The sequence below is a fragment of the Homo sapiens genome, chromosome 10, assembly GCF_000001405.40.
Source record: "Homo sapiens chromosome 10, GRCh38.p14 Primary Assembly".
NCBI classification, from domain to species: domain Eukaryota; kingdom Metazoa; phylum Chordata; class Mammalia; order Primates; family Hominidae; genus Homo; species Homo sapiens.
In genome coordinates, this window is record NC_000010.11 from 95,721,965 (window position 1) to 95,747,001 (window position 25,037).

At 39.7% G+C, this 25,037-nt stretch overlaps 1 protein-coding gene across 7 annotated transcripts in view, besides 3 other annotated features; it reads left to right on the forward strand.

Annotated features, from left to right (window-relative positions):
• ENTPD1 (ectonucleoside triphosphate diphosphohydrolase 1) overlaps positions 1-25,037 on the forward strand; it is a 183,082-nt gene that overhangs the window by 27,780 nt on the left and 130,265 nt on the right. Inside the window, exon 1 of one of the 7 annotated variants that reach the window (NM_001440938.1) lies at positions 20,070-20,243. The exons of the other annotated variants lie outside the window; for them this stretch is intronic. The gene's annotated coding sequence lies outside the window, so the exon portion shown is untranslated. Of the gene's footprint in view, positions 1-20,069; positions 20,244-25,037 lie in introns of those variants that run through there. 7 annotated transcript variants of the gene reach the window in all.
• Positions 11,075-11,275: a silencer, noted in NCBI's record as "peak1056 fragment used in MPRA reporter construct". NCBI's record gives its function as "represses an SCP1 promoter by STARR-seq MPRAs in K562 erythroleukemia cells {active_cell/tissue: K562}" and the evidence as "EXISTENCE:reporter gene assay evidence [ECO:0000049][PMID:32103011]".
• Positions 20,094-20,183: an enhancer, noted in NCBI's record as "active region_3802". NCBI's record gives its function as "activates an Ori minimal core promoter by ATAC-STARR-seq in GM12878 lymphoblastoid cells {active_cell/tissue: GM12878}" and the evidence as "EXISTENCE:reporter gene assay evidence [ECO:0000049][PMID:35858748]".
• Positions 20,194-20,253: an enhancer, noted in NCBI's record as "active region_3803". NCBI's record gives its function as "activates an Ori minimal core promoter by ATAC-STARR-seq in GM12878 lymphoblastoid cells {active_cell/tissue: GM12878}" and the evidence as "EXISTENCE:reporter gene assay evidence [ECO:0000049][PMID:35858748]".

Consider the following 25,037-nt stretch of genomic DNA (forward strand, 5'->3'; position numbering starts at 1 on the left):
TGGGCTGGGTTCCTGAGTATTTCATAACAACCCAGTTGCCCCATCAAGATACATTCCAATAAATAAAACAGTTCTTATGCAAATTTGTGTCAGAGAGGGTGTAGGTAACATTTTGAGTCAGGATTGAGATAGATTTTTTTGATTCTATAAGTGCTTTAAGACTTGGCTGAGTGAAAACAGCTCGAACATTTCAGCAAACCAATTATTAGGCAATTCTCCTAACTCTGCTTCCACAAGAGTCTCCCTATCAATTACTGAATACCCATTGTGGTTTTTTTTTTATTATCCCAAGTTCATTGTTTTTTTGTTTTTTTTTAATTTTTTAATTTTTTATTTATTATTATTATACTTTAAGTTTTAGGGTACATGTGCACAATGTGCAGGTTAGTTACATATGTATACATGTGCCATGCTGGTGTGCTGCACCCACCCAAATGTCCAACAATGATAGACTGGATTAAGAAAATGTGGCACATATACACCATGGAATACTATGCAGCCATAAAAAATGATGAGTTCATGTCCTTTGTAGGGACATGGATGAAATTGGAAATCATCATTCTCAGTAAACTATCGCAAGAACAAAAAACCAAACACTGCATATTCTCACTCATAGGTGGGAGTTGAACAAAGAGAACACATGGACACAGGAAGGGGAACATCACACTCTGGGGACTGTTGTGGGTTGGAGGGAGGGGGGAGGGTTAGCACTGGGAGATATACCATTGTGGTTTTTTTCTCAATCACCTGGGAGGAAACCTCTATCGTCCTGTCCTGAAGGGAGTTCCTCCTAGGTCTGGTCGGACCTTTGTATGGTAATTAAGATTTAAATCCCCTGTTAGGAAATCTGCTGGGTTAAGGGAATTTTCAGTGGTTAAGGTTAAATCACCCTTTTCTAACAGAATAGCCCCATACGAGTAAGATTTGAGTTAGTAAGCTACCATTTTGCTTTTTTGACTTAGGATAATTCTGAACTGATGAGGTGTGCTCACAATGAGGTTTCCTCTAAAAGTTATTTTTCTACTTTCTTCTGTTAGCAAAGCAGTTGCTGCTACAGATTGAATGCATTTGGGCCATCTGCGGGTTACTGGGTTAAGGATTTTTGATAGGAAGGCTGCGGGTTGTCAGTGGTCTCAGTGTTTTCAGGCTGTTACGCCCTTGTTTACACTGACAACAAGGTAGTATTGGAGTGTTATAGGGTCATGGAGAAGACCTTCCATGATCAATTATAGGTTTTAAATTTACCCTGGCTTTTAAAGGAATAGGGCACATTGTTTTTTCTTTACTACTTCTATCTTTCTCTTTCTTTCTCTCTTTGACTCCCTCTTTGTCTCTCTTTCTTTCTCTCCCCTCTGTCTCTCTCTTTCTCTCTCTTTTCTCCTAGCCCTTTACAAACTTGGGGCCCTGGCAAGGGTGGTGGGGAATGGGTCTCACATAACTGCCCATGTCTAGAGCTGTATACCTAAATTGGGAGGGATACCAGGGACAAGACTCTCTGGGTTCATAGCCTAGGGGCCTAAGGATGCAGTGTAGAGCTCCCTTAGATCCCTTTGGAGATACAACTTGCTAGAGGAAATGAAACTCTGAACCATTAGTACCTAGGAGGCAGGGATGGGAGGAAGTAGATTCAGAGGTAAGGAGAATTTTGGGGCTACACTTTCAAGAAAGTCGTGGTTGGGACCCAGGAGGTATGGGTCAGAAGGAAAGGTAGGGGCACACACATGGGCAACTGTTGAGTAGAGACTTCTGGCTGTGCCATGATCTGAACCAGCTAATGCTGGGAGTTCGGGACAACAGCTTTCTGCCTCTAGTTGGCCCTCGGCTTCCCCAGGAAAATTGAAAGCGGAAGCTGATTCTAGGCAGACCAACATTCCCAACCCACAAGGATTGGGGGTTGTTAGAAAGCCCTTTCCCAGCACAGGCACGGTGGCTCACGCCTGTAATCCCAGCACTTTGGGAGGCTGAGGTGGGCAGATCACGAAGTCAGGAGGTCGAGACCATCTTGGCTAACACGGTGAAACCCTGTCTCTATTAAAAATACAAAAAAATTAGCTGGGTGTTGTGGTGGACACCTGTAGTCCCAGCTGCTGGGGAAGCTGAGGCAGGAGAATGGTGTGAACCCAGGAGGTGGAGCTTGCAGTGAGCCAAGATTGCACCACTGCACTCCAGCCTGGGTGACAGAGCAAGACTCTGTCTCAAAAAAAAAAAAAAAAAAAAAAAAAGCCCTTTCCCAGATAGCCTCACACCTGAGTCTTAAGTCCAGCGGCCACACTAATCGTTTTTAACTGGCCAACAGGTGCCTGGTATTTTCCTCCAATTCTAAGGAAGGATAGGACAGAATAGCAAGTGAAAGTGGTCCAATATTACCACTTTGGATGTCCCTTCGTGGTCACCAAAATGTTACCGGGGCGGGGTGGTCCTTGTTCTTAGAGCTCCCAAGATCGTGGGCCATTTCCAAGATGGCGGCAAGCCTCTTGTTCTCTGACCTGGGGTTCTTGGCCTCACGGATTCCAAGGAATGGAATCTGGGACCATGTGGTGAGTGTTATAGCTCTATTAGAAGCCGTGGGTCATGGAAGAGAACCATGGAACCCAGCGACTAGTGTTCAGCTCAACTAGGACGAACCTGGGCACTTAGCCATGCAGGAACAATGGCGAGCCTTTAGCCTGATTGGGAGTGGCAATGGGCACCTCGCTGGATCAGGAGTGCAGCAGACACCCTGCTGGATCCAGAGGGGTGGAAGTCAGTGATGGGTCTGCGACGGTGGCAAACAGCAGTGGTGGATGGCAAGCGAAAGCTCAGCTCAAGCCATAACAAACATGGACCAGAAGAGTGTGCAGTTGCAAGATTTAATAGAGTGAAAACAGAGCTCCCATAAAATGGGAGGGGACCCAAAGGGGGTTGCCCAGGTTAATTTTTAAAAGTAAAATTTGAGAAGTTTTGGGCCTTTATTTCTTCCAGTACATTTTCTGCTCATTTTTTCTCTCTCCTCTTTGTCTGGGACACCTCTTACATGTGTGTTGGGACACTTGAAATGGTCCCATAGATCTCTGAGGCTCTTTTTATTTTTCATCAATCTATTTCCCTCTGTTACTTGAATCAGATCCTTTCTATTGATATATTGTTAAATTAACTGATTCCTTATTCTGATACTTTCAATCTATTATACTTTTGGGCCCATCTAGTGAATTTTTCATATCACTTATTTTGCTTTTCTTCTCTAGAATTTTTATTTGATTCTTTGCTATGGCTTTTGTTTCTTATTGATATTTCCTATTGCTGAATCATTATCATATTTTTCTTTGATTTTTTAACATCATAATAACTTCTTGAAATCTCTGCTAAATCCTATATATCTGGCCCCATTCAAAGTCAGTTTATACTGACTTCTTTATTCCCCCTCGGTGAGTATGGGTTATACTCTTATAGTTCTTTGCATATCTAGTGATTTTTAATTAAATACTGGACATATGAACTAATATAGCAACTCGGGATTCTGTTTTATTTTTCTGAGGATTGTTGTTTTCTAGCAATTTGTCTGGGATTAAACTGCAGATTCTCTTCTCTGTGGTGTGTAGCTACTGATACCTCTGCTCAGCTTTTTATTCTTAATTTTTAGCCTGGCTTTCTGCAAGTTGCCCTCATGTCTACTTTAGTTTAGTGGACAGCCTACACTTTAGGAGAGGTTGTGTTAAAAAAACTGAGTCCACAGGGATTCCACCCACTCCTGCTCAATCTGTTTGTGAGTTAGGGAATGCTTTCAAAGTTATAGCCAGTTCTCAAATCTCTGGCTTTCACTTTTTGCTAGCCTGTCTTGGATTTCCACTATACACAGGTCAGAGAGAGATATGTGGAATGCTTATATCTTCTCAGATAATTCCATTAAATTTTTGGTTGGTACACTTCACATCCCAACTGGAACTACAAAACCGTGGGGTTTTCCCTGTTCACATCTAGCTGGCAAAAGTGGTTTTCTCTTCCCACCTTGGGTTGAGCCTGCCCTCTCTGGAGGAAAGCTGCTGGTTTTCATGGCTGAACTACTATCTTGCCAAGCTGTGTCCATGTTATGGGTAGAGACTAAAGGGGAGTCATCCCTGGCAAGCAGGTCATAGTTTCCCATTGTTGTTACCCAAAGTTTTGGAGACTTTTCATGAATAAATGCTTTTCAACTTGTTGTCTGCCTTTGCTCAATTTCTGGTGCACTGAAATGGCTGTGCTTGATAATAGAAACCTTACCTCCTTTTAGATCACTTTACCCTCTTCTATTTATAATGTTCATAAATATATCATCTACATATACTAGAACCATAGTGAAAGTGTTATAACTTTTGCTTCTTTCATCAAATATAATTTTAAAAACTAAAGAGAAGGAAAGCTTTTTATAATTATTCATATTTTTGTTGTGTTCTTCCTTTCTTCTTGTCTTCCAAAAATTCTTATTTAACATTTCTTTTCTGCATAGAAAACTTCTGTAACTATTCTTTTAGGGTATATATGCTGGTGATAGATTCTGTTCATTTTCCTTCATCTGAGACTGTCTTAATTTTCCTTTCATTCCTCAAGAATATTTGTGCTAGATATAGGATTCTGTGTTGACAATTCTTTTATTTTAGTAGTTGAAAAATACTGTGCCATTTTCTCTGGCCTCTGTGGTTTCTGATGAGAAAGCTACTGTAAGTCAAATTAGTTTCCTTCTAAAAGTAAAGTGTTGTTTCTCTCTCTTTACTTTCAAGATATTTTATTTGTCTTTAATTTTCAAAAGTTTGATGATTGATGTGTTTTGGTGCATTTTGGGGGGTTTATCTCTGAGAGGGTTCACTCAGTTTCTTGAATTTTTAGGTGTTTGAGTTCCCAGTATCATCTCTGCACACTGGGTCCTGAGTGACAGAAGTGCCCACCAGAAGTGATGCTTTTTCCCAAATTCATCCTTTTGAACTTTGTGCTCCCAGAGAAGTGGCACCACCTTCAAACTCAGGTTAGGGTCACTGGCTCACTGCCATCTTCAGTTTAGAATTTAAAATCCAGAGAACTCCCAAGAACATGAAGCTCCTTCGTCAGTGTTTCCACAGTAAATTATGCCCCAGCTCAGGTTCAGAAGTTGATGAAATGCCAATTTGTCCCGTGTAGTCCAAGCAGTTTAGTCAGGTTATGAGATTTGTTTGGACAAAACATGGAGCTCTAACATTTGGAGATTCACAGTGTGACCTCTCGATTTGAGTCATAGTTTTGGTACACTGAATTTTCCCATTTATTTGAGGAGAAGGAAAGGAGAGACTCATTTAATCAAGACCAACTCTTGTATTATTAACAAGACTAGACCACCTCCAAAACATAAGGCTTCCATTCATATTTATTCTCTAGAAATTTTTTCTCTGTATCTGAGAATGGTGGTCAAAATTCAGTCTACAGATGACCTCAAGGTCTCTACCTCCTGTTTGGAAGTTGTCTAGGAAATCCCTTTGATAACTTATATGTGATTCATATTTTTCGATCATAAAGATTTGTTTCATTTATTACCCATTTCTTTGTGGAAAGAATTCCCTCACGTGTCAATCAGTTATAAGGACTCAAGATGTGCCGTGGGAAGAATGCAATCTCTCTACCTCCAATCCCACCATTTGCTTGTGAGATCAATGTTTTAACTCCTTTAAGCACATGTATTTTCTTATTATTTTAACCTAGAAATGATATATGCTTGCATTACTTTTCTCATGGTTATTTACAACTAATTGTGGAGTAAATGAATTTAGCCATGTTTAAAAAAATTTAAGATGTCAGCAGGCAAGTGATAGAGGTTGTTTAATAGAAGTTCTCTTAGCAGCATGTTAAAAATAATGCTGCAATAATATCATCTACCTAAATGGTTACTCCTAGCAGTCTGATGCCAAAATCTAAACAAATCTAGAATTTTTATATGTGGAGTGACAGTTGTACAAACATCACAGTATTCACATAAATATTTTGTATAAGTTAAATTATCTAAGTTTATTATTAAGTTATTATCCTTCCCATCCAAAATATTTTTTAAATCCTAAGACAACTTCATTGTAGTTTTAGTTATTACAAACTGGAGCAATCTTTAGCAAGTTTGGGAATATGAAAATAATAGCTTATTTAGGCTATCTAACTATTGAATTTGTTTCATATTTCAGTTCACCCTTGAACAATGTGGGGGCTATAGGCGCTGAGCCTCATAAAAAATTAGCATGTAACTGTTGCCTTCCCCAAAACTTATCTATTAATAGCCTACTATTGGCCAGAAGCCTTACTGATAACATAAACAGTTGATTAATACATATTTTGTATGTCATATGTATTATATTTTGTATTTTTATAATAAAGTAAGCTAAGTAAAGAAAAGATTATTAAGAAAATTGTAGGGAAGAGAAAATATATTTACAGTACTATACTGTATTTATGGATACTGTAAGTTTATGTTGTCTGTTTAAAAGGTGAATTGTCCATCTGAAATGGTGGGCAGCTGCAGCCGCAAACCTCAATTTATGGTACATATCAAGCAATTCATCTTTTTCTTGTAATGGCATGACTTTTCTCTGCTTGTTGGGAGCACTTCCAGCATCACTAGTGGCACTTTTTATGGATCCCACGGTGTTATTCGAGGTTTCTAGTATTGCACTAAACACAATGAAAAATATGTGAGAGCCATGAGAGATCAGTTTTTACTGTGACACACAATTTACTGGAAAGATGAACTGCTCACACAGAGATGATGTTCGTCACACAGTGTTTTAAGCAGATTCTTGCAACACTTGAGCTCCCCACAATGGCAACAGAAGGTAGCTATGAAATCATTACAATAGTACAGTATGTTCTACGGTGAATTTTATGAAGTTATGATTTAATACTGCATCTTTATGTTTATTTCCATTTCTCTCAACTGCAAATGGCACTATGTATAGTCTGTGTTTGTGTAAGTTTTGATAAATTTTAACTTTTTATAATAGAGTTACATATATTTTATGTTAGTAAACAATAAAATAGACTAATATCTACATATATTTTATGCATTCATGACATACCTAACTTTTTCTTAGTATTTTCAATATTTCTAGGCTGCATGGTTCATCTGCATGTTTTTTCAAATTGTTGCAAATTTCTAAAAATTTTAAAATATATATATATTTTTTGAAATCCACATGTAAGTGGACTCTCAAAGTTCAAACTTGAGTTGTTCAAAGGTACTTGAATTCTCTCCAGCCTTTCTCTTTCTGTCCTTAAATACATCAAATATCCTAACATTTTAAATGGAGTTCCTACCAATTATATTCAGAGAAACACAGTATGAAGCATGAAAAGTACCTATATGGAAAGTGGCTTATCACTTCATAGAGATTTTTAGAAAGTAATTTCCTTTAACTTTATTGGGAAGGAGGTTCTACTCAAAAACTGTTTCCTGGAGTAGTCAGTCTTAAGCTGCTGTATGTGTTATGCTTCTTACCAAAGTTCAGGAGGGCACTATCTGTTTCCTCAGGATGGTGTCAAAATGGAGTGTTGGCAGTGTTCCTTATGTGAAGTAAAGAGATAACAGCTAGAAAGCTAATTAAAATAGAGTAGACTTGCTTTAAGGAAGCGGGCAAAACCTTTTCCTTCCCAGAAAAATTTCCTACTCCCACCCACTGCAAAGACTTGAAACAATAGAGTCAGCAAAAAGAATGGCAACTTTATGTTCCCTTTTATGAAATTTCTAATTTTGTTTCCTTAAGTCTCTACCTCACTCTATGTTGTCTTGGGTAGGTAAGAATTGACAAATGCTTATTTTCCTAGTAGTGGTACATTTAAAAACAATCTCCCTTCCCCTAATGTTCCTTTTCAAAAACTTTATTCCAGCCAAAAGAGTGACTTTACATTGGGAGGATCTTAAGACAATAACAGCGAGATAGCCTTAGAGGAAATAATTGCCTTTTGTTTCATGAATTTCTCTAACTTAGTGATATCCCGATTCCTGATTTGTAGCAAGTCAGAAACACTGAAATCTCCACTTAGGAACATTAATAATGTTTTTCCTAATTCACTGGATTTGATTATTGCACACAGAAGCTATTCTTCCCAGTATTTCTTTCTTTCTTTTTGAGACAGGTTCTCACTCTGTTACCCAGACTGGAGTGCAGTGACACGATTACAGCTCATTACAGCCTCAATCTCCCAGGCTCAAGTGATCTTCCCACCTCAGCCTCCTGAGTAGCTGGGACTGCAGGTATGCATGCCACCACACCTCATTAATTTCTGTGTTCTTTTGTTTTTTTTTTTTTGTTACAGACAAGGTCCCGCCATGTTGCCCAGGCTGTTCTCAAACTCCTGAGCTCAAGTGAGCTTCCTGTCTCAGCCCCCTGAAATGCTGGGATTACAGGTGTGAGCCACTGTGCCAGTATTTCCCACTATAATCAAGTGGTGCCACCACCATTTGGCTTATATTTCTACATTAAAAGGGAAGTGAAAAGAGAAAGGACAAAGAATCAATCATAATCTTGGGCATAATTACTGGGTCATCAGAAATGTTAAAGCATATAAGGACAAAAGAGGAAGTGGCTGAAAAAGTAAAGTACAGTGAAAAATAAAAGGAAATAATGGGGAAAAAACTATGACTTTATTAGAAACTGATATATAATTAGAATGCAGATTTTTGGTGAGAGATTAGTGGTAAGAAAATAATTGTAAGTAAATATGTGTTATTTATTTATAGCCATTCTTATTTTAAAAAAGATATGTGGTGGTAAATATTTATGTAAATGTCTTCCTAATTGAAAAACACAATGAAACAAAAATAGTGGCATTTCTTTTTAACAGTGTTGTGTTTAACAATGGAATTGCTTCCTATCTGTCTGGAAAAGTGAAGGTATACTAATACCTCACACTTGTATAACCTTTGTGATTACAGAGCATTTTCCCATTCTTTTGATTTTCATAATAGCTTCATTAGGTCAATAGATCTTACTCTACTGTGAAGGTGAGGAAACAGCCCATGCTGCTAAGGACTTGCCTAAAGTAGCGTCATTAATAATTATCAGCACCAGAACTAGAATTCAAGTCTCCTCTTATTTAGGATTTTTCTTCAACTGTTTGGTCTCTCAGGTAACTTTTCCAAGATCTTTTCCAGTTTCACTAGTTTTAGCTAATATATAAACATGTCATAATATTTTTATAGCCAAACAGTGCTGTCTGAGATTTTAAATCTTGAGACTTGAGAATGCCTGAAGGCTAGTGTGCTGGATATTCTGTATTCATTCTCCATTCTCCTCCACCCTGCTCTGGGTCCTGAGAGACCGGCCAGAGTGAACTGCATCAGGGGGCTTCTGGTTAGGTTCAGCAGGAGATTGGAGGCTGGGAGCAGAGCAAGATCTGGTATTTATTCCTCAGCTCCTTCCCTGCTGGGCCATGGATGAGTAGTGGCTGTACTCTTTAACTGAAGATGTAGCCGACCCTCTGGGCCCCCTACCCATGTACCCTCAGCCCTCACCATTCCTTATGAATGGTGGTGGCTTCTTCTTTTGAAAATACCTGCCACTCTCTGCCTGATGGCTTTTTCTGGCCATAGAAACACGCTTAGCCCATGCACAGGACCGGCCAGAGGTTCTGGATAGTTGCTTTCTCCAGGGAACACCCCTTAATGAATGATGTGTAGGAACTGGTGGATAAATTTCTCTCTTTCTGTTCCCCTGAGTTGGAACAGCTATGAGCTGTATTCTACACCTGTTTCCCAGGGGGTCCCTATCAAGACAGAGCCCCAAATGCTGAGTGTGTCTAACATTGGATATTCTTTTAGTTAGGAAGAAGGTAAGAATTAGAGGAGTGGACATCCTTTTTTTTTTTTTTTTTTTTTGACAGAGTCTTGCTCTGTCGCCCAGGCTGGAATACAGTGGTGTGATCTCGGCTCACTGCAACCTCCGCCTCCTGGGTTCAAGCTATTCTGAAGTCTCAGCTTCCCGAGTACCTGCGATTACAGGCACCTGCTACCACGCCCGGCTAATTTTTGTATTTTTAGTAGAGACGGGGTTTCACCATGTTGGTCAGGTTGACCTTGAACTCCTGACCTCAGGTGATCCAACTGCCTTGGCCTCCCAAAGTGCTGGGATTACAGGTGTGAGCCACTGTGTCCGGCCAGAGTGGACATCCTTTAGTAACTGCAACAGAGGCATGCTTCGAATACTATACTTTTTTGAGACACATGAGATAATTAAATGATTGACAACAATACTAATTAGGCCAGCAATGATTACAGTGCTATTGCCACCATAATGCCAGTACAAGGTTGGGGTTATTGGTGGCTGTCAGGATGGTGGCTGTTAGAGAAGAGCTTGTTCTGCCCTAGCTGTATTCTTCATGGAGGCAAAGTTCTTGCAATTTTTCTGTAGTGCCAACCTGATGACACACTAACCATGTACGTCTTAGTTACAACAAAGCTATTCCACACCCAGCCATCTAACCTACTTTGTTTCTCATCTCAGGCATTACTGTGACAATATTTACACTCAGTTGTAGCAAAAATAAAAATTTTCTTTTTACATATCAATGAAAATTTGTAGGGGCTGCTGGGAGGGATTTGCTCTCTCAAATGCAGTGGTCGTGAATCCCCATGTTAGGTATTTTAGGAAAGATAAAATAAGTAATAAACAGACTCTTCCCTTATCAGGGGAACCCGCCCCCAATAATTCAACGTTATTTCACGTAGGTTCTTTTCTATTTCCCTAAGTGTTGGTCAGTCGGAGAAATAAAGGGAAAGAGTACAAAAGAGAGAAATTTTAAAGCTGGGTATCCACGGGAGACACACACATGTCGGCAGGTTCCATGATGCCCCCCAAGCCGCAAAACCAGCAAGTTTTTATTAGTGATTTTCAAAAGGGGAGGGAGTGTATGAATAGGGTATGGGTCACAGAGATCACATGCTTCACAAGGTAATAAAATATTACAAGGCAAATGGAGGCAGGGTGAGATCACAGGACGGGGGCGAAATTAAAATTGCTAATGAAGTTTCAGGCACGCATTGTCATTGATAACATCTTATCAGGAGACAGGGTTTGAGAGCAGACAACCAGTCTGACTAAAAATTTACTAGGTGAGAATTTACTCACCGTAATAGGCCTGGGAGTGCTACTGGAGACCAGGGCTTATTTCATCCCTTATCTTCAACCATAAAAGACAGACATTCCCAGAGCGGCCAGTTTAGAGACCTACCCCTGGGAATGCATTCTCTTTCTCAGGGCTGTTCCTTGCTGAGAAAAGGAATTCAGCAATATTTCTCCTATTTACTTTTGAAAGAAGAGAAATATGGCTCTGTTCCACCTGGCTCTCAGGCAGCCAGACCTAATGGTTATCGCCCTTGTTCCATGAACATCACTGTTATCCTGTTCTTTTTTCAAGGTGCCCAGATTTCATATTGTTTAAACACACATGGTTACAAACAATTTGTGCAGTTAACGCAATCATGACAGGATCCTGAGTGGACATACATCCTCAGCTTATGAAGATGATGGGATTAAGAGATTAAAGACAGGTATAGGAAATCACAAGAGTATTGATTAGGGAAGTGATAAATGTCCATGAAATCTTCACAATTTATGTTCACAGATTGCAGTAAAGACAGGCATAAGAAATTATAAAAGTTTTAATTTGGGGAACTAATAAATGTCCATGAAATCTTCACAATTTATGTTCTCCTGCCATGGCTTCAGTCAGTCCCTCTTTTCCGGGTCCCTGACTTCCTGCAACATTCTCTCTGGAACTCCAGGTTTGGTAGTAATGGAGGATGGGGTGAGGAGCGAAGAGAAATTCTGTGTGGGAAGAAATGATAACATAAGTGTGAGTGGCAGAATTCTTTGTTAAGATGTTAATTATTGTGGGTTCCCAGTCCTACCCTGGCTCATTGTCAAAATTATGCAAGCTTCCCTAAAGCAATAAGGTAATAGGGAAGAATAAAGGGGTACCTTTGAAGACCAAGAAAGAGTGAAAGTTTTGGGTCACTGGGAAGGGATGAAGGTTCATGGGTCTATGGGTAATGGGGACTCTTGCCTGTTCTGTGGTCATGTCCTGCTGGGTAATACGTCAGAAAGGACAGCTGCATGGTGTCTCAGAGATGCTCCACTCCAAGCACCAGGGCGTCCAGCTGAGGCAAAGCCCCCTCACCACACTCCCCCTTTCCTACTTAGCATGGGGAAAGAAAGGTTGGGCAGTGAGAATATCAGATGGGATCAAGCTAGGTGTGAGATTAGAAACCCTTCTCCCAGTTTCTATAGATGCACTTTCCCCAGATTCTGGTGTAAGCCAAGGAGGTAAGAGGACTCCAGTAATGACAGATTGAGTTTCTTGCCAGCTCAGAGAGCCAGAGACTTGAGATGAATTTAAGTTGATATAAAGAAAATAAAGAGCAGAATTTTTTGGACACCTATATGTGGTGGATTAAGATGGAACTTGCTCCATGCATAAAAAACAGAGACAAAAAGGGCAGAATATGGCAAGGGCTCTAGGGGAGGCTAAGCAATGGAATGTATCTATAATAAATCATGATATGTTATTTGCAATTTGGAAACCTTGCAGGCTCTTCTCCACAGAGCTTCTTCCAGCTGGGCAGAGGAAAGAACAATTAAACGGAGAAGGGGGAAGGAATGATTTTCTCTTGGATTCTTTTCTTGCTTGCTCCGATTTCATAACATAAAGTACAGTAACAAGTAACTGTACATGTAGTAAATGTTTATTAGTCAAGTATGAAGAAAATACTTAGTCTGTTAATTCCTTCTTTTATGGTAGTCATATGTCACACTGATTTTTATGTCACAAAATCCATATTGCCCATCCTCCGGATTATAGAGACAGACACAACATTGTTTGGTGTCAGTGTCAAGGCATCATGGCACACAGGGTGAAGATCCCTTCGCTCTTTTAGTTCTCCATCTCACAGACTCCTTTGTCATTGTGCAGGCTTCAGAGCAGAGACCTCTGTGCAATTTCTGTTTTTCATGGAAGAAATTACAGTTGGGTGGGTAGGGTTACAGGCATTTTCTACATTGAATCTGTATTTCCTGGATTCCAAAGCACTTGATGAAAATAGATTTTTTTTTTTTTTTTTTTTTTTAGACAGAGTCTTGCTCTGTCTTGCCCAGGCTGGAGTGCAGTGGCACAATCTTGGCTCACTGCAGCCTCCACCTCCATGGTTCAAGTGATTCTCTTGCCTCAGCCTCCTGAGTAACTAGGACTACAGGTGTGTGCCACCACACCTGGCCAATTTTGTATTTTTAGTAGAGACGGGGTTTCACCATGTTGGCCAGGCTGTTATTGAACTCCTGACCTCAGGTGATTCTCCCGCCTCAACTGGGATTATAGACGTGAGCCATCATGCCTGGCAAAAATAGATTTTTAGTGTTTGGAAATCAAGATGTGTCTTTCAGTCAAAGTCAAAAGAAATCTATTTGTTTCCAGAGAATCTCAAGTTATACTGTGTTTGTCATTGTGCACAAGTATGCGTAGTATTTCATAGAAGATATCATTTAATCTGATTGCCAAAGCAGATAAGTTATTTGTAACAGTAGTTGATGCAGGTAAATTTTAATTAAATTCTAGACCTCCAATTGGCTTTTAAAACCTTTTAAATATTTAATACAATTATTTATTTATTTATTTGTTTGTTTGTTTGTTTATATGAGATGGAGTCTCGCCCTGTTGCCCAGGCTGGAGTGCAATGGTGCGATCTCGGCTCACTGCAACCTCCACCTCCCGGGTTCAAGTGATTCTCCTGCCTCAGCCTCCCGAGTAGCTGGGATTACAGGTGCGCACCACCATGCTCGGCTAATTTTTTTTATCTTTAGTAGAGACAGTGTTTCACCGTGTTGTCCAGGCTGGTCTCTAACTCCTGACCTCAGGTGATCCACCCACCTTGGCCTCCCAAAGGGTTGGGATTACAGGCATGAGCCACTGCCCCCGGCTGACTTTAGTTTTTAATATGGAAGATTGCCTGTTTTAGCTGAACAATGAATTTGAAAACAATAGGAGTTGTTACGTACTTTGGTCTATTTTAGAACATTTTCAAAGTTTTTTTTTTTTTTTTTGAGACAGAGTCTCACTCTGTTGCCCAGATGGGAGTGCAGTGGCATGACCTCAGCTCACTGCAACATCCGCCTCCCTGGTTCAAGGAATTCTCCTGCCTCAGCCTCCAGAGTAGCTGGGATTACAGGCTCATGCCACCATGCTAGGCTAATTTTTGTATTTTTAGTAGAGATGGGGTTTCCCCATGTTGCCCAGGCTGCTCTGAAAACTCCTGGCCTCAAGTGATCCACCTGCCTCGGCCTCCCAAAGTGCTGGGATTACAGATGTGAGCTGTCGTGCCCAGCTAGAAAATTTTCAAAGTTTTGAGCAATGTGTGTGACCAATTCGTGTGCTGAGGAGGAGTTTTGCTTGGGAATGGTACATCTATTAAAAGTTTCTAGCTAACCTTTTCCCCTAAAATGTTTATTAAAATGTTTAATATTTAATAGAAATAATATGAAAATACATAAAGAAAAAGTTAATAAACTCCTTTCCCACCCCTCCAGCCATTTTCTCTTCTGTTCCTCCCTCAGAGGATTCTTGTTCATCTTTTTTCATGCTCTTGCATGATGTGCATATATAGGTTTTTGTTAAAATGTAGCAATGATGGTTGCACGCACACCCCTTCAGATCTCTTCACTATTTCTGTGCACTCCAACTCCTGGTGTAGTTATCCTCCCAACAGCCCAGCCCTGCATCACTTTATGAGCAAATGACCCTCAGGTTACTGGAATGTGCTTCATTTATGCACATCGGGGGCCATAAGTGCCTTTGAATTTATGCTTCCACCCCCCAACCCTTAACTAATGACTGATAGGTGCAAAAATATAAACTTCAGCTCTTGACCCCCTCATCAGTATAATTTAGTCAATTACTCCCAGTAGTTTCTCAGCTTTGTTCTGCTTTCTGACACTAAAAACAATGCTATAATATAAAACTGTCTACATATATTCTATATATTTACCAAAAGTAATTTTGTCTGTGTGTGTGCATGAAAGAGAGCCTCCACTTGAGTCTACTGAAGTTGAACTAAGCCACTTTCTACAATATTGAGATAAAGTAGTGGAGCTAGAAGTATGAAGAAGGATTTATGGGGGGTTAGGCAAATGAATCTTTGTCCTCTCAACAAGTATTTACTGTTTTCCTACTATGTGCAGGCTCTGTGTACAGTCTACTATTCAGTGCAGGACAAAACAGAAATGGTTCCTGCCCTTGTGGAGCTCGTCTAGTGGGGGAGTAAGATATTAAGCAATGATGTCATATGTAAATCTTTGCAAATTGAATAAGTGCTATGAAGAATGAATAGAAGGTGCTCTGTGAGAGTTAATTGGGGGCCTAATTTAGAAATGGAAAAACCTCTCTGGAGAATTGACAGTAGAAAAAAAAATTAAAACTTTTTTTTTTTTTGAGATGGAATCTTGCTCTGTCCCCCAAGCTGGAGTACAGTGGTGTGATCTCAGCTCACTGCAAACTCTGCTTCCTGGGTTTGAGCAATTATTCTGCCTCAGCCTCCTGAGTAGCTGGGATTACAGGTGGCTGCCACCACTCCTGGCTAATTTTTTTGTATTTTTAGTAGAGACGGGGTTTCACCATGTTGTCCAGGATGGTCTCAAACTCCTGACCTCAGGTGATCCACCTGCTTCGGCCTCCCAAAGTGCTGCCATTACACGCTTGAGCTGCTGCAACCGGCCTAAAAATTAAAACTTTTCCCCAATGTTTAAATTATTTACACAGCCCTAAAATTCATTCTAAAGAATTTTGTTTTGTATTTATTTGAATTGAATAGACTTGGAATTGAGTTTTGCTCTAAATTGCAATGACTGTGGAACAGCCACCTTTGTTGCAGAATTCCTCTCAAACCCTTATGATGGAACAACAGAAAATCTATAACTATGATAGGTGGCCAAATTAGCTGGAAAAATGTTTGACTTGTAAACGTATCATGCTGGGGTACCTGGAGCATCTGAATCCCACCACCAGCACCACCACTCTGTAAGAGGAAAACCTGGTGGAACAAATCAGTTGAGGGCTGGGACTTCTGGGTAGGGAGAAAGGAAGGGAGGGAAGATGAAGGAGACCAGGAGAGGATCCCAATGTTCTGGAAAAGTCCCTGGCATATGGTAGGTGTCCAGTAAATATTTATTGAATAAATGATTGCGTGAATGATGCTCAGCAGGGATATGGATACTGAGCTCACATGGACTGCTCAGTAGCCTCATAGGGAGAAAACACTGTTTTGCATTAGCCCCTGGAATCTCTGTGTGTGCATGGTTGTCTGGTGATTAGATTGGTAATGTCCTGTGCCTGCCTTGATTTCTAGATGGTAAGGGCTCAGATAAGAATATGAACCAGCTTTTACCAGGATGGGGTAATTGTCAGATATTAATGAAGTATGGCAGTAGGCAAACCTAGGGCCAAAACTGAAGTGAGGGAGGCCCCTTGCTTGGCCAGATCAGGAGTCACTGTCCAAAGGCTTAGGTCCCATCATTTTCCTGCACCAAAGCTGGATATAGTGGGCAGTCAGCAGGGAGCCAAGGAGTTGTGTGTGGTCAGGGTCAAGAAAGGCAAAATTCGTCAGAGAAATGCATACCCTGTTGGTGAGATGGAGAAGACCTATTCCTTCTCACCTCAAACCAAGACTCACCATAAATAGGCTATGCATACTCATGATGATCTGACTATTTTGAGTAGCTTGCCAGAAGGGTAAGATGAGAAAAGAGATCTAATTTACACTTTTTAAAATGACAATTAGAGGGAGATCACAACAGCCAAAGAAGATTACCTATTTATTAAGCACATAGGCACACTCTGGTTTAGGTGCTGTGGGATGTTGAAGGATTTAGATGAGGAGGAGAGAAAAAGAATTTGCACTCAGACTCGAGAATTTGAAGTCACACTTTGGATTGTATACACAGGTATACTTCAGAGATATTGCAAGTTCAGTTCCAGACCACCACAATAAAGCAAGTTACACAAATTTTTTGGTTTCCCAGGGCATATAAAAATTATGTTTACATTATATTATACATTATATTATAGTCTATAAAGTGTGCAATAGCATTATTTGCAAAAGTACAATGTATATACCTTGATTAAAAATACTTTATTGTTAAAAATGCTAATGATCATCTAAACCTTCTGTGAGTTGTAATCTTTTTGCTGTTGGAGGATTTTACCTCTATGTTAATAGCTGCTGACTGATCAGCGTGGTGGTTGCCGAAGGTTGGGGTGGCTGTGGCAATTTCTTAAAAGAAGACAACAGTGAAGTTTGCCACATCAATTGACTCTTCCTTTTATGACAATTTCTCTGTAGCATGTGATGCTGTTTGATAGCATTTTACCCACAGTAGGACTTTCAAAATTGGTGTCAGTCCTCTCAAGCCCTGCTGCTGCTTTATCAAGTAAGTTTATGTAACATTTTAAATCCTTTGCTGTCATTTCAACGATGTTCACTGCATCTTCCCCAGGAATAGATTCCATCTCAAGAAACCAGTTTCTTTGCTTATCCATAAGAAGCAAGTCCTCATCTGCTCCATTTGTATCATGAGATGTAGCAACTCAGTCACATATTTAGACTCCACTTCTAATTCTAGTTTTCTTGCTATTTCCACCACATCTGCAGTTACTTCCTTCACTGAAGTCTTGAACCCCTCCAAGTCATCTATAAGGGCTGGAATTGACTTCTTCCAAATTCCTGTTAATGTTGATATTTTCACCTCTTCCCATGAATCACGAATGTTCTTAATGGTATCTAGAATGGTGAATCCTTTCCAGAAAATTTTTGATTTACTTTGCCCACATCCAACAGAGGAACTATCTATGATGGCTACAGACTTATGAAATGTATTTCTTAAGTAATAAGACTTGAAATTACTTCTTGATCCATGGGCTGCAGAATAAATGTTGTGTTAGCATGCATAAAAATAACATTCATCTTCTTGTACATTTCCATCAGAGCTCCTGGGTGATCAAGTGCATTGTCAATGAACAGTAATATTTTGAAAGGAATATTTTTTCTGAGCAGCAGCCATCAACAGTTAGCTTAAAATATTCAGTAAACCATGCTGTAAACAGATTTACAGTCATCCAGGCTTTTTTATTCCAGTTACAGAGCACAGGCAGAGTAGCTTTAACATAATCCTTTTTGTTTTTGAGATGGAGTCTCTGTCACCCAGGCTAGAGTGCAGTGGCATGATCTTGGCTCAGTGCTACCTCCACCTTTTGGGTTCAAGTGATTCTCGTGCCTCGGCCTCCCGAATAGCTGGGACTACAGACACGTGCCACCAAGCCCTCCTAATTCTTCTGCATTTTTAGAGATGGGGTTTTACCATGTTGGCCAGGCTGGGCTCGAACTCCTAACCTCAGGTGATCTGCTTGCCTTGGCTTCCCAAAGTCCTGGGATTACAGGCGTGAGCCACTGCACCCGGCCCATTTAACGTAATTCTTAAAGGCCCTAGGATTTTCAGAATGGTCAATTAACAATGGCTTTAACTTAAAGTCACCAGCTTCATTAGGCCCTAACAAGAGAGTCATCCTCTCCTTTGAAGATTTGAAGCCAGGTATTGACTTCTCCTCTCTAGCTATGAAAAACTCTACTGGCCCCCAGAGGATGAAGGGCCTAATGTGGCATCCAAGATGGCATCTTCTTCCAAAAGAAGGCTATTTCATCTACATTGAAAATCTGTTGTTTCGTGTAGCCACTTTCATCAATGATCTTAGCATGATCTTCTGGATACCTCACTGCAGCTTCTCCATCAGCACTTGCTGCTTCACCTTGCGCTTTTACATTACGGAGGTGGCTTACTTTCTTAAACCTCATGAACCAACCTCTGCTGGCTTCTGACTTTTCTTCTGCAGCTTTCTTACCTTTCTCAGCCTTCATAGAACTGAAGAGAGTTAAGGTCTTGCTCTGGATTAGGTTTTGGCTCAAAGGAATGTTGTGGCTGGTTTGATCTTCTATCCAGACCTTTCAGACATTTTCCATATTAGTAATAAGGCTGTTTCTCTTTCTTATCATTTGTGTGTTCACTGGAGCACTGTGTTTACTTTTTTTAAAGAAATTTTCTTTGCGTTCATAACTTGGCTGTTTTCTGCAAGCAGCTTAGCTTTTAGCCTGTCTCAGCTTTCGACATGCCTTCCTTGCTAAGCTTAATCATTTCTAACTTTTGATTTCCAGTGAGAGATGTGTGACTTTTCCTTTTACTTGAACACTTACAGGCCATTGTAAGGTTATTAATTGGCCTAATTTCAATATATTGTGTCTCAAGGAATAGGGAAGCCCAAGGAGAGGAGGAGATAGTGGGACAGACAGTGAGTGGAACAATCAGACCACAAACAGCAGTTATCAATTAAGTTCATCATCTTATATGGGCATGGTTCATGGTGCCCCAAAACAGTTACAATTTTAATATCAAACATCACTGATCCCAGATCATCATAAGAAGTATAATAATAATGAAAAATTTTAAATATTGCAAGGATTACCAAGATGTGATACAGAGACATGAAGTGAGCACATGGTACTGCAATAATGGCACTGATAGACTTGTTCAATGCAGGGTCGCTACAAACCTTCAATTTGTAAAAATCGCAACGTCTGTGAAACACAATAAAGCCAAGCACAAGCAAGTGGAGTATGCCTGTAAGAAACATAAAATATGAAAAATCAGCAGTGTGAGGCATTAAGCAGTTCCCAGGTTGCTTGGCACTTATGAAAGTCTCTTAGAATTTGGAGGAGAGAGGGTTAGCTGGAAGACTTGAAAGATTCAAGGTTTGAGCCAGACCCTGAAGGATGAGCTGAGACAATCATCTTAGGTTAAGTAATGATCTCAAAAGTATAAAAATTGCTATTACTATTATCTTTTTCTGTTTTCCTATTTCTTCAGACTTTGCTGCCCCCAGAGGATGAAGGGCCTAATGTAAAGGAGAACAGGAGGCCTGATTTTGGCATTACCTCAAAGATTTGTCACCCCTGGCTGATCTCTGCAAAGGCGGAGGCGTTAACAGCAACATAGGAGCTTCCTGCTGTAGACTGTTCTGGTATTGTGGGATATTATTGTCCTCAAAAGCTGGGTGTGTGGGCCATGCTGATAAGGTCATCGGCATTAGTCTAAGGGCCATGTGTTCTTCAAAACTTTCCACTGACTCTTAGGCCCAGCAAGGTCCAGAAGTAGAAGACAGAGATTTATGCTGTTTGGAGTCTTGATTGCTTGGCAAGTATTAATACAATTCTGGGGCACTTAACGGTTGGTTAGTGTAGTAAATTTTGCTTAACACTAGCTTTTCTGCATCTCAGAGCTACTTTAAGTTGTCTGGCAATGTTCCCAAATAAGGGTAACCCCGTCTGGAGAAGCCTAGGCCTTTTCCTTCCTTTTGTTATTTTTTTTTTCAAGTGCTGCAACCAGCAGTCGCTACTCCTTCCTGTCCTCCCCCTAGAGTTGCTGACTGCTCTCCAGTGACATGTATTTGGAAACTTTTTAAGATACTAGAAAATCAACTTAGAAACTTTCTTTTTCTTTTTCTTCTTCTTCTTCTTTTTCTTTTTTCTTTTTTTTTTTTTAGACCAATGGGAATATTGTGTGTTGTGGATGGAAAGATTTGAATACTACTATGTTTTCACATTGAGTTCAATGTAACAAGGCCATTTCCGTGTCTTGGCACACAGCCTGAGTTAACTTTGCTTTGCTGGATGTGGATACAATGAATTCTGTTTGAACAAGAAATCATGTGTAACAAATGCTTTTGCAAAATCATGTCGTCATTAAAGCAGTTACTTTAATAAAGATGGGCTTCACAAGGGGTTTCCGGTACAACAGCTGCAGTTAAATATCTATACACTGTTAACATATTTTTTAAAATAAGCTTTTAATTATAGAATAGTTTTCAATTTACAGAAAAGTTATGAAGATAGTACAGAAAGTTACCAGGTACTCTCTACCCAGTTCCCTGATTATTAACATCTTACATTAGTGTGGTACATTTGATACAATAAATGAACCAATATTGATACCTTAATATCAACTAAAGTCCATACTTTATTCAGATTTCTTTAGTTTTTACCCAATGTTCTTTTCTGTTCCAAGATTCCAAATTACATTTAATCTTCATGACTCCTTAGGCTCCTCTTGGCTGTGAGAATTTCTCAGACTTTTTATTTTTGATGACCGTAGCAGTTTTGAGAAATACTGGTCAGAAATTTTTGTATAATGTCCTTCAATTGGGATTTGTCTGATATCTTTCTCATGATTAGGCTCGAGTTATGCACTTTTTGGAGGAAGACCACAGAGTGCCATTTTCATCACATCATACCAAGGATATGTGTTATCAACATGATTTATCACTGTTGATGTTAATCTAGATGGCCTTGCTGAGGTAGTGTTTGTCAGGTTTTTCCACTGTAAAGTCACTCTTTCTTACTCTTTTTCTCTGCTGCACTCTTTGGAAAGAAGTCACTATGCAGGCCATACTTAAGGAGTGAGGAGTTATGCTTTACCTCCTAGAGAGTGGAGTATTTATGTAACTCATTTGAAATTCTTCTGTATGGATTTGTCTATTCTCTCCCATTTGTTTATTTAATAATTCATTTGTTAAATATTCTATTTCATAAATACACTAATAGTCTATTTCAGTATAGACTCGTGGATATTTATTTTATACTTTGGATTATCTTTGAATATGGTTCTATTTTATTGTTCAAATTATTCTAATTTTGGCTATTGGAAGCTCTATTGGCTCCTGTGTCACTTTGACACACCCCATCATTGTAAGCTTTTTTTTTCTTAATTACTTTCTGGCCCCATAAGATACTCCAGGATTGTCTTGTAATATTTCCTGTCCCCAGCCTAGAGTCACCTATTTATCAGGGGAATTCTGGTTCCTTTTACTGGAGAACGGTTATAGAAACAAAAATCTGGGGGTTAGATGTGCTTATTGCTACTGCAGTATCATTGCTTATAGGCCCACTCTGCTGACAGAGCAAGAAAATATAGATGTATTTTAAACCATATATATATATATATATATATATATATATATATATATGCACAACTATAAATAGTTCTACATTTATTCATATGTATCCCTATTAAGCTAAACCTGAGTTCATACTGATGTCTCTAACGTTAATCCATTACCACATGGATCATTCTAGCCATTTCCCCTTACTTGTCTATAACCTTCCACTCTAACAGTGAGAAGCCTGACTCCTATTGTCTGTCATCCATTTACATAATTTCTGATTCCAGTATACATGTATAGTGGTTTCAGAATTATGAATCTTGGGAGACAGAGTAATGTACTTTTACACAGTTCCTTTTGCCTTTGGTCCTGTAGACTTTACTCACATCTAAAGTGACTTGGGGCCGAGAGTGGGGACTCATGCCTGTAATCCTAGCACTTTGGGAGGCCAAGGCAGGTGGATTGCTTGAGGCCAGGAGTTCAAGACCAGCCTGACCAACATGGTGAAACCCCATCTCAACTAAAAATACAAAAATTAGCCAGGCTTGGTGGTGTGCTACTTGGGAGGCTGAGGCACAAGAGTTGCTTGAACCAGGGAGGCAGAGGTTGCAGTGAGCCAAGATCATGCTACTGAACTCCAGCCTCTGTGGCAGAGTAAGACTCTGTCTCAAAAAAAAAAAAAAAGTGACTAGGTCAGCACCCTTTTCCTCTACCTCCCTCTGTGAGGTTTTTTCACACATTTGTAATACAGTTCCATTATTTTGTCAGAATTTAAATTTCATTCTGGGCTCCCTTGACTTCCTGAATAATTTTTGAAAACTTTGTATGGGTTAAGGTTCATTCTTTGTGATTTAAATTTCTGTAGATTTTGACAAATGCATATTGTCATGTATCCACCATTACAGTATCATACTGAAAAATTTTATCAATCTGAAAATATCCCCTCTGCTTTACTTATTCGACCTTTCCCTACCCTGATGAATCTTTGGTAATCACTCATTTATTTATTGTCTCTCTTTAAAGTAAGCAGTTTTTTAAAAAATTTAAATTTTTAAAAATATTTTTAAGTTTTGGAGCTCTAATAAGTTGATTGGTCTTTCATAGATAATGAGTACTTTGTTTGAAAATGAGTATCTTTGACCTTAAAGAAATTATAGCTTTTATCAGTTATACTTGCAATTCACAGATTTGGATTTGTGTTTTGAAGCAGCAATAACATCTTACTTTTTTTAAATGTTTTTTTATTTTTAGAAATAAGGTCTTGCTCTCTTTCTCAGGTTGGAGTGCAGTGGCACAATCATAGCTCACTGCAGCCTTGAACTCCTGGGCTCAAGTGATCCTCTTGCCTCAGCCTCCTAAGTAGATGGGATATAGACATGAGCCACCATGCCCAGCTAATTTTTTAATTTTCATTTTTTAAAGACGAGATCCATTATGTTGTCCAGGCTGGTCTCCTGGCCTCAAGCAATCCTCCTGAATTGGCCTCCCAAAGTGCTGGGATTACAGGTTTGAGCCACTGCACCTGGCCAATCTTACCATTTTTGATGAAGTGACAGTCACTTATTATCTCTGCAGACCTTTGAGACATTTAGACAAATTGAGGCACTTGATGTGGGAGTAGGATAAAGGAGTTAAAGGGGATATTTCAACAGAACATTTATGTAAGAGAATCCACTCATGCAAGGCAAGAGAGAGGAAGTAGTTATAGCTAAAAAAACTAAGGTAATGCCTACACAGCACTGACTTCATTGAGTACTAGCATTGGGTTAGATATTTGCCGTAGCATAGGATCTTCATTTCAGTTCAGCAAACTCTCATTGAGTGTCTGCTGTGCTTGAAGCTGCTGTGCTGTGTACTCTAGGCTTACCTTCTCCTGCTGCCACGTTGGGTTGTAGACTTTCACTTTGGAAGAGTTGGCCATTCTGCCACATTCAAGGGCTTCCCCAAGCTCAGTTAGGGCATTCCTCCCTGACTACCTGGAAATAGGAAGACATGGGTGATCTCATGTCATACTTCACTCCCTCTCCCAACATGGCCTCAGTCCCACAGCTGCTGGTTGAATACATAGAATCACTTAACTTTGGGAAAAGGGGTGGAGAGGCCCTTTGTGCTATAGAAGGGAAAGGACTTTGACTCTCATTTCCTTCAAGTACCGTTAGGTTACTTCTGAAAAATAAGTGGAAGATATCAGAGGGGGAAAAAGCAAGAGACACAAGTACAAAAGGCAATGTTTTGTTTAATCTGAACATAGATTAGTGCATAGTGAAGAGGAAGAGAACTCACCCTTACTGAGTGCCACCTATGTGCCAGAGTCTGTGTTGGGAGTTCTCACATATTTATTCTCTTTTTTACCTCCAACATGGCTTTGTGAAGTAGATTAAAAAAAAGACCTTTATTTTATGGATACATTGGGGTTCAGAAGGGCTCGCTAACTTGTCTAAGATCATACAAAAAGAATTGAATCCAGATCTTCTTAATGCTCTGGCAGCACTCTAAAATCATCTTGGCCTTTAAAAAAAAACGTGGCTGAAACCTACCCCAAACTCAATTAAATTCCAATCTCTGAGGGTTGGGATGGGCATTAGTATTTTTTATAATTGGGCCAAGTGATTATAGTGTGCAGCTGAAGTTGAGAACCATGGCTCTGACTAAAGAGGCAGTGCCACTCCTACTACTTTCCACAAGAAGGGACGGGGCATTTTTTGAACGAGTGTGCATTCTAAATACTCTTGGAACACTTTCAGATCCATCCCTTTTTCTCTGCTCCTCCTACCCTGCACCACAGTGTCCTTTTCATCTCTGGATATCTGTAAGTAAGCAGATGGAATGAGAAGAGAGGTTGTTATTGATAGTGGAGAAATACAAATTCAATTGAATTAATTTAATCAGCATTCCTCTTTTGATAAAACACGTATATGTAGTGCTGATAGACTGTCAAAGCACAATGTCAAGTAGTGTCAAGAAAATTTGATACAGTTTTCCAAATTTGTTGACAACTTTGGTTTGTTGAATATGCATTCACCAACACCAAATAGTACTGACTTATTATC